Consider the following 9,779-nt stretch of genomic DNA (forward strand, 5'->3'; position numbering starts at 1 on the left):
TAATATTTTGGCAGCTGCTGTTGCCTCTGCTGCTTGCACAGTTGAAGCTGCAAGAAAGTGGCTCAGATAGCTGCAAGAAAGTGGCTTAGATATTGGACCACAATTATTTCTTCTTCTTTTTTCCTTCCTTCTTTCTCCTTCCTTCCTTCCTTCCTTTCCTTCCCGCTCCCTCCCTCTCTCTTCCTTCCCTCCTTCCATCCTTCCTTCCTTCCTTCCTTCCTTCCTTCATTCCTTCTTTTTCTCTTTTGCAGACAGCATTCTGGTGTGAGCCACAAAATAAATGCAATGGGAGTTCAAGAGTTCTTGGGTAAGAGAGATCCTGAAATGATCAAGGACATCTTCTTGGAGGAGGGGAATTTTTCACATCTTAATATCAGATGAAATCTGGATTGGCCTTTGCTGTTCCCCTTTGACAATTAAGCACCCAGATTGCAAGAGAGAGGCTGTATTGTTTTTGTCAATGTACTCCTTCATCGCTTTGTGGAGAGTTTATTTTCCCAACCTCCATTTGGAAAGAAGACTCTAAAGAAGACTTCTTTAGAGTATCTCCAGGGTCAGACACTTTAATTTCATCTTGAATATTGTGCTGCCACTTAGTTTTAATGGGGAACACCCTCCATCCTTGGCTGTTTGTTTGTTTGTTTAGGAGCTTGAAAAATATTTAGTTTATCAGGGATCAGAAATTCCAAAGAGAAACAATAACTTCCCCCAGTTCCTCTTTCTGAATGATATCTTTCCTTCTTCCTTTAACAAACTCCACAACCCCAACCCTTTTCTACTTCTAATGTATGTCATGGTTAAGAGTGAAGATTGTCTGTGCCTCAGTTTCTTCAACTCCAAAATTGAAATAATACTCCATAATGGCTGCCTACTTCATAAAGCACCTCAAAATGGGGGCCTATGTGATAAAGGTATTATGTAGCAGTGTGCAGAACTATGTATGTTAAAGCCTTTAGAATAGTATTAAGCGCATAGTAGGGGGCTGGCACATGATAGCTATTATTTTATTAATACACAGAGACTTAAGGTAAAACCTGAACTAAACATGTCCATTCTGGGGGCTACCACAGCTTTTCCTAAGGTAAACCAGCCCACCTCTGCCCCTGATGGCTGTGGTGAGTTCTATAATGTGTGTTTTGTCTCTACCACTCTCCCTACAAGCCCCCCAATACACACACACACAATACCTAGAAGTGTATGGATCAGGGATGAGCATCTGACCCAGGGGCAGCTGGTCCCCTGGGCAGCTCTGACTGACAGGGACTGGCCAACAAACCCACAAACAAATAAACAAGGCTCTGTCCAAGTAAAGATGAGCTCAGGAAGTCAGACTGTAGCTCCAGGGCTTTGAATTGGAAAGTATGAAGTCAGCCAGGCTGCTAAGAGTCCAAGGTGAAGTGGAAAGGTACTATTAAGAGGAGCTGGAGTCATGGGGTCCATAAGTGTGTAGGAGAAGCTATGAGCACTGTATGCAGAAGTTGTGAGAAGCAGAAACCATGAGCAACAAGCTATGAGGTAGAGAAAAACATAGATTAGTGGGCAGGGAAGCTGGCTGGCGGTAAGAGGAGAAGCACAAACATACAAAGAAGGAACAAAGAGTACCCAGGTCCCCTTTTGGGTGGAGCATAGGTGGGAATAACTGCCAAACCCACTGCCAAGCTCTCTTGTGTCATTTTGGCTTCTGCTCTTGACTCTCTGATGCCCATTCATACTTAGGTTTCTGTTCTGTGATCCCTGTTTCCCTGAATAACCATAAACTTTCCTGTCTTAATTTGAGTATCTTCCTTGTGGACAAAAAGCTAAAGTAAAGCGAGCACCAAATATAAACGTAGTTTTGCATGCACTATTCTTTCCTTTATTCTTCGTTCATTTCTTCTTTGTTGCCTCTATTTTCCAAATGATGGGCCTTGTAAGAACAATGAGCCTTGTAAGAACAATGTCGTAACTTGCACAGAGAACTCGCTTTGTGCGAGGTATGACAGTAACTGTATAGGTTCTTAGAATCCTGATACGCAGGGTCTTAAAAAAAATAGGCATTTATTATTCAATGCTTTAGAGGAGACAGAGATAAATTTTAGAAGCAAGCAACTGTCATATTTTGTTTGTACCTTTATAATTTACAGATGTCAAAGTTTAGCTTTTGAGCAATATTTCTGAGTTTCTGACAATTGACAGTTTCTTTCTCTTGATTTTTAGTAAGAGAGAGAGCTTGGGCTCTGGAGTTCAGGAGACCAGAGCTGAAATCCTGACTTCTCCAAATCGCTTAAACACTTTGAACTTGATACTTCCAGGGAAGAATGTCATGAGAATTAAATTAACAAAATTAAATATCCTACCAGGTAGTTAACATTTAATATATACAAAATCTGTCCTCTCTTTCTTATAGAACATTTTGGGTTGCAAGCAATAGAAAGCAATTCCAGGCTGGCGAGGCAGGAGGATTGCTTGAGCCCAAGAGTTTGAGATCAGTGTATGCAACGTCGTGAGACCCCATCTCTACAAAAAATATAAAAATTAACCAGGCATGGTGGTATGCACCTATGGTCTCAGCTACTCAGGAAGCTGAGGCAGGAGAACTGCTTGAGCTTGGGAGGTCAAGTCTGCAGTGAACTGTGGTCACACCAATGCGCTCCAGGCTGGGCAACAGAGTGAGACCCTGTCTCAAAAATATAAAAATTAGAAAGAAAGAGAGAAAGAAAGAAGAAAGAAAGAAAGAAAAAGAAAGAAAGAAAGGAAGGAAGGAAGGAAGAAAGAAAGAAGGAAAGAAAGAAAAGCAAGCAATTCCAGTGATCTTAAACACAGTGGGAAATACATTGTACAGGTACAGGGACAAATTCTAGGACTCAAAGGAAGAAATGCAACCAGGTTTATGAGGGATTTGAACTGCTGAAAACCCAACAACAGCATGGGTAGTATTTTCTTAACTTAATGTTTATAATACTTAAACGTAATTATAAAAAACCCGGCCCTGGACCCTACAGCCACTGAGATGTTGGTGCCTAAGAAGAACCACATTGTCGTTTATGAACTCCTTTTTAAGGAAGGAGTCGTGGTGGCCAAGAAGGATGTCCACATGCCTAAGCACCTGGAGCTGGCAGACAAGAATGTGCCCAACCTTCATGTCATGAAGGCCATGCAGTCTCTCAAGTCCCGAGGCTACAACACAGAACATTTTGCCTGGAGGCATTTCTACTGGTACCTTACCAATGAGGGTATCCAGTATCTCCATGATTACCTTCATCTGCCCCTGGAGACTGTGCCTGTTACTCTATGCTGCAGCCATCCAGAGAATGGCAGGCCTCAGCCTAAAGGTCTGGAGGGTGAGCGACCTGTAAGACTCACAAGAGGGGAAGCCGACAGCTTCCTGTGCCATAGCATTCCTACAGACGGAGTGCTGTGCCCCCTGGTGCCGATGAGAAAGCTGAGGCTGGGGCTGGGTCAGCAACCAAATTCCAGTTTAGAGGCAGATTTGGTCATGGATGTGGTCAGCTACCTCAGTAAAATCAGAGAGGATTATTTTGCATTGAATAAACTTACAGGCAAAAAAAAAACTTAAAAAAAATTGGAAGCCACTTACAAAGTTCTATCATATAGAAAAATGCACCTTATTTTAAAAGGACACCCTTAAAAATAATCAATTAAGTACCAGCACTTTATTCAGAATAATAACCTACAAGTAAGATACTTCTGGGGCTGCTAACATGAATTAAGTAAAGTGCTTTAAAATGTCAATTAGAAGCACGATAGCAAAGCAAATAACAGTTATATGCTCCGGTAGTGTTGTCTAATTTATTGGATTCTACAGATTTTCTTGTGTACTGAAATGGTTGTACCTATGAAAATCTGGGATGGGGTGTCTCTAATATTGCTATTATCATTGAGGTTGCCATTAAATACTTGTTTTACCAACTGTTAATTAAACAAATTAAAAAATGGTGTAAGAAATATGCAAAGCTCTTCTTGGCATGTCTTGTTAATTCTTTTGCTGTCTGCCATTCAGATTTTCCTATTACTCAGCCCCATATCATGTGGAGACTATGTCTACCCAAACACTTCTCAGATTATACCTCATCCATGTTTTGAAGATAACACAGACTAAACAGCAATCTGTTAATCTCAATTCCAGATTTCCAGTAGAACTACCCCAGTTGGTCCTTGGATGAGGCATCCAACCTTGATAATATTAATCAAGATAATGAGGACAAATATACCAGTCATGGCTGCCAATGAACCAACTCTGTTAAAGAGAGACAGAAAAATGGATCTGCAAGGCTGTAGAGTGGTTGAGCATATATTCTAGACTAGGACTACTGGGTTTGATTTCCCGTATCATCATTTATATGTGTAAAGTTAGGTAAATAGCTTATGTTGCAAGTCTCAATTTTCCCATGTATAAAATGGAAAAGAAAAAAAAAAGCCTATGTCATAGTTGTTGTGAGGACTGAATGAACTGATTTATGTAAATATCTTAGTATGGTGCCTTGCACCTAAACAGTCAGGGGTGGGAGGTAGATGCAAGAGTGTGTCTGTTATAACTGCATTATAGCACATTTTGGTGACTGAATTTTGATTCCTGAAAAACATGACATTAAAATGCCAAAACTATGAACTCCTTTAAAATACAGAATCTTTTGTGGAGGCTGTCATAATAGGGGATCCCAAGGGCCAATTTGGAATTTTACTGAATTATAATGTGATTTAAGAAAAAAATTTGAGTCAGTTCTCATATGGAAATTACAAATTAAGTGAGGTTATTAGTTCCAGAAGAAAGACTTAAACTCTGCTCAAAGTGTTAAATACATCTCAGGTAGAACAGGAGCTTAGTAGCAATGGCAACTCATTTGGTTCTGTAAAGAGAATTTTAAACAGAATTTGTACACACTGTTTGCATTTTGTATGAATTTTTAATCTGAATTTGAGAGTGACATTCTTGCTTTAGATGCAGTAGATTTGAGATTTGACCAAAGCCATTTTGTCCTGTTATCATAACAGATATCTTGCTTTATAAAACGTAAGATCCCATTCACCCTGGGGCTGGAGTCAACTCCTTTGTATTATGTTAGGCATTTAGGCAGGGGCTCTAATTCTTTCAAGTCAATTCTTTTCAGGCTGCAATGTTTTTTATCTACTGCTCAGGGAGACATAAGCCTTGGGGAAAATTAGGTCCATAAAAGCTGTCTCTGAAAGTCTCATTTTTTATGGGCTCTTGGATATAAAGAACATGATTGAAATCTGGTGATGTGTGTTTATTGGCAAATATGTATGTATGTATGTGTGAGTGGAAGGATGAATGGATGAATAGATGGATGGGGGGGAAGGTGCATGGATGGGGAGATGGATCATATAATGAATAGTTATTATTACTATTATTATTTTGGTTATCCAGTATCCAATCATGACAAGGTACCATGACAATTAAAACTTCTTCTCACGTTAGAAGTGTGCCATTGTGTGCATTCCTAGGACCTGGCAAGCAAGTGGAACCAAATTCATTTTCTCTAGTTCAGGGGCAGGGAATCGACTTCAGCTTGGCTAATGAGACAGTCTCCTGTTAGAATCTGAATAAGTGTTCCAGGGTGTGGTGGCAACTGGAGGAAGGCAGCAGCGGAAGTGACCTGTGAATCTATAAATGGATCTGGTCTGCTGGGAGAATTGCTCTGGTTCCTGAGGCTTGGCCCTCTAGAGGTTGCTCGCTTTTTGCCTGTTTTCTAAGCATATATATATATATATATATATATATATATATATATATATATATATATATTTTTTTTTTTTTTTTTTTTTTTTTTTTTTGAGACGGAGTCTCGCTCTGTCGCCCAGGCTGGAGTGCAGTGGCGCGATCTCGGCTCACTGCAAGCTCCGCCTCCCGGGTTCACACCATTCTCTTGCCTCAGCCTCCCGAGTAGCTGGGACTACAGGCGCCCGCCACCACGCCCGGCTAATTTTTTGTATATTTAGTAGAGACGGGGTTTCACCATGTTAGCCAGGATGGTCTCGATCTCCTGACCTCGTGATCCGCCTGCCTTGGCCTCCCAAAGAGCTGGGATTACAGGCATGAGCCACCGGGCCCGGCCTCTAAGCCTATTTCTTCATAAACTCTTTTTTGCTTAAGTCAACAAAATTGTTTCTGTTGCAACCCAGAATTCTCACTGATACAGATATTGAGAAGTAACTTAAGTTTCAGGCATATTCTAAGTTCCTTATGGGCATTCATTTATTTACTGTTCACAAAAATGCTATGAGAAGGTACTTGCATTATTCCTGTTTTACAGAGAAGCATACACAGAAAGCTCACACGGTTGCCTGAGATCGCACAGCTACTAAGAGCAGATCCTGAATTTCAATTCTGGAAGTCTGATGCTAGAGCATACTTAACTCTGCATCTTAACATTTCTGCAATATTGCTTCTGTAAGGATAGTAGAAGGAGAGAAAGAGAGAGAGGCAGTGCAGCAGAGTCTATATAACATGTTATTCAGTGCCTGTTCCTTTTCCTCCTGGCACACAGACTATATATATTTCCCTGCCTCCTTTGCATCTCAATGTAGACATATGACTGACTTTTGTCTGGTAAAATGTGAGAAGTGGATTTGTGTCATTTCCAGGGCAAAGTAGTTAAGTCATAGGTGTGCCTTCCCTGTGGCTCTATTCTGCCCAGCTGAATGGAGAGGAATCTGAGGATCTAGAGGAAAGAAGAGCCACAAAATGGAAAGTAGAAGGCTGCCTGGCCAGGAGTACTCTTATTGTACTGTGATGGGAGTGAGAAATAACCTTCATTTTGTTATACCACTGCAATGTTAGGGTTACCCGTTAATGCCTCTGACTAAGCCTAAGAGGCTATATTAAGTTGATGGTGAGTAGAGAGAGATGACAGAGCAAAGCAAACTTGGATTCCAATTTAGGGAATTGGAAAAAAAATTTTTTTTAAATAAAAATGGAGTCTTCCTATGTTACCCAGGCCGATCTTGAACTCCTGGGCTCAAACTATCCTCCCACCTCAGCTTCCCAAAGTGCCAGGGTTACAGGCATGAGCCACTGCACCCCACACCATATATAGAATTTTTAAAGGGACCCAATTTCGGTTGACAAAATAAATAGCACTGAACATCTTTGCTCTCTTTATAGATAACGAAGAGTGAATCTTAATTTAGTCATAATTGAAGGGGTATTGAGAGATCATCTAATCATCCTCCTGAGTCTCTGACCCTAAACAAAAAATTTACAAAGATTGTTTTATACATAGCATCCTCATTTTTATGGAACTCAAAGGCAAATGTTCATGTTAACTTAATCAAAGATGTCACTGGCAACCTATATCATGATCCTAAGTATTCTTGCCCTTATTTGATGAATTACCCTGGTAGTTATCTACTTCAGTTTCCCATGTATTTGATGAAATTCTACTTGTACAATTTAGTAAATGCAAAGAAAAAGTTCTTTTATGTAATCCTTCCTATTTTAATAATCCTTTGATAGACAGCATCCATATCCCTTGCTAATTATTTTCCCCGTAAGGCAGGGTATTAAATTTCCCAGAATATGTTTCACAGGTAGGAAAGCTTTCAAAAATATATAATATTTTGACCTTTAAAGAAAAAGGATTTGTTGTGAAACTAGTTCTTTTTACTACTAGCGTGTCATTCAAAATAAAATAATACGTTTAGACATGTTGCAGCAATTTAGTTGCTATTACTCAAATCTTACCCTCTAATTAGAAGAAGAAATATGAAGCCTCATCAGTGCATAATTTAACAAACTCAATGTCAGGAAATTACCATATTTTATTCTTGTCTAGCACCAAAATTTGTGGGCATGGAGGGAAAATATTCACTTCTAAAAGTGCAAGATATGACTTATAACAAAAGAGAGCTTGAGAGGTGATAGCATGGGTTCAGGCTAATCAAAGATTTTGGACAAATTCCAAAAGGCAGATTTTAAAAATATGACTCGATTTCCAAGTTCCTTCTGCTTTAGGATGAAGTGGAAAAAGAAATTAAGTCATATGGGGAGAAAGAAAACCGTGAAAACCAGGACTTTTTAAAACTCTGATGGAAATTAGTATGGATCAATGGGGATTCCAGGAAGAGGGAATAAGTCAAGGGATTACGACTTTCACCTGCAGGTTGAGAAACACATATCCATGTAGGTGGCAGAGAGCTCCCTAAATTGGAATCCAACTTTACTTTGCTCTATCTTCTCTCTCTACCCACCATCAACTTACATAGCCTTTCAGGTTGAGTTAGAGGCATTAACGGGTAACCCTAACATTGCAATGGTGTAAAAATATCAAGGTTACTTCTCACTCCCATCACAGCCCAGTAAGAGTACTCCTGACCAGGCAGCCTTCTACTTTCCATTTTGTGGTTCCTTCTTCCTCTAAATGCTCAGTGTCCTCTCCATTCAGCTGGGCAGAATGGAGCCACAGGGAAGGCACACTCACGACTTAACTACTTTGGTCTGAAAATGACACAAATCCACTTCTCACATTTCACCAGAGAGAAGTCAGTCATATGTCTACATCCAGATGCAAAGGAGGCAGGGAAATATATATATAGTCTGTGTGCCAGGAGGAAAAGGAACAGGCACTGATGAACATAAACACTAATGAATGGTCAATTACAATATCAAAAAATGTGAGACTTGAAACAGATCTTAGGCAGTCATCTTATCTCATGCCTTCATTTTATAGATGAGGATGTAACAGTTGTCAGAATCAAAATGGAGTCATTAGTGTTAAAAAATACTCTTGACATATAGAGCCAGGGAAAGCCATGAAAAGAGGGTTCTCACGCTTGTATGCCTGATAATAAAAAGGCTCTACAAAACCCACAACTTTGCATGAAGGCCATTGCAACCTAATACGAAAGAATACTTCTGCGAGGACATTTGCTCACCAACTCCCTGTCCAACCTCAGACTGGCATCATCCTTATTATTGATGTTTGTAGTGAAGTATAATTATTTCAAAACAATTATGTAATCCTCTTCATTTTTTTTTCCTTTAAAAACCTCTGTCTTCCTCTGAATATGCAAATCCTTTACTACGGAACAAGTATTCCCATTGCAATGCTCTATTCCAAGTAAACATCTTTTTCTTTTAGAGAGCTTCTCTCTATTCGTTACTTTGGCTGATAAGAGTATTGAAATTCAGAGAAAATAATTGACTCAAAGTCATCTATCAAGTTATTGCTTGACATAATTGAGAATTCCAGCAGTGAAATCCAACAGAGTTCAGTAACAGCTGGATCCAGGTGCTCAAACATGTCATCAGTAATCTATATCTATCCATCACCTGGCTCTAGTTTTCTCTGTGTTGCTTTCTTCTCAGGCAGCTCTTCTTATGCAGTGCTAAGGTAATTCCAGTCTTATGTCTTTCCATGTTGGTGGCTCCAGCCAAAAGTGAGCTTCTTTATTCTACCGGTTGCAGTAAAAGTCATTAGCCCAGTGTAGGTCATGGTCTAGTTCTGAACCAACCACTGGGGTCAGGGCATTCCATGTCCAGATTTTCTTGGTCTAGGTCAGGGTGCCCCATCAATAAGGCAAAGTCGGTCCGGCTTCACTTAAGCCATATGGGACTATAATTGGGAAAGGGTAGTAAACAGAGGAAACTCCAGCCAGTGCAGCCAGAAAGAGAGAAAACAATGTTGATGAATAATGGACAAAAACAATAAACTTCTACTACATACAGCAATGTGTCATAAATCCTTTGTCAGGTTAATAAATAACGTCATTATTTCCTCATGGCATATCATAAAAAGTGATTTTATTTTTTAAAAAGATTT

General features: G+C 39.7%; 1 pseudogene; it reads left to right on the forward strand.

The window, feature by feature from the left end:
• RPS10P10 (ribosomal protein S10 pseudogene 10) lies at positions 2,962-3,556 on the forward strand (annotated as a pseudogene).

The sequence above is a fragment of the Homo sapiens genome, chromosome 3 (assembly GCF_000001405.40).
Source record: "Homo sapiens chromosome 3, GRCh38.p14 Primary Assembly".
Taxonomy (NCBI): Eukaryota; Metazoa; Chordata; class Mammalia; order Primates; family Hominidae; genus Homo; species Homo sapiens.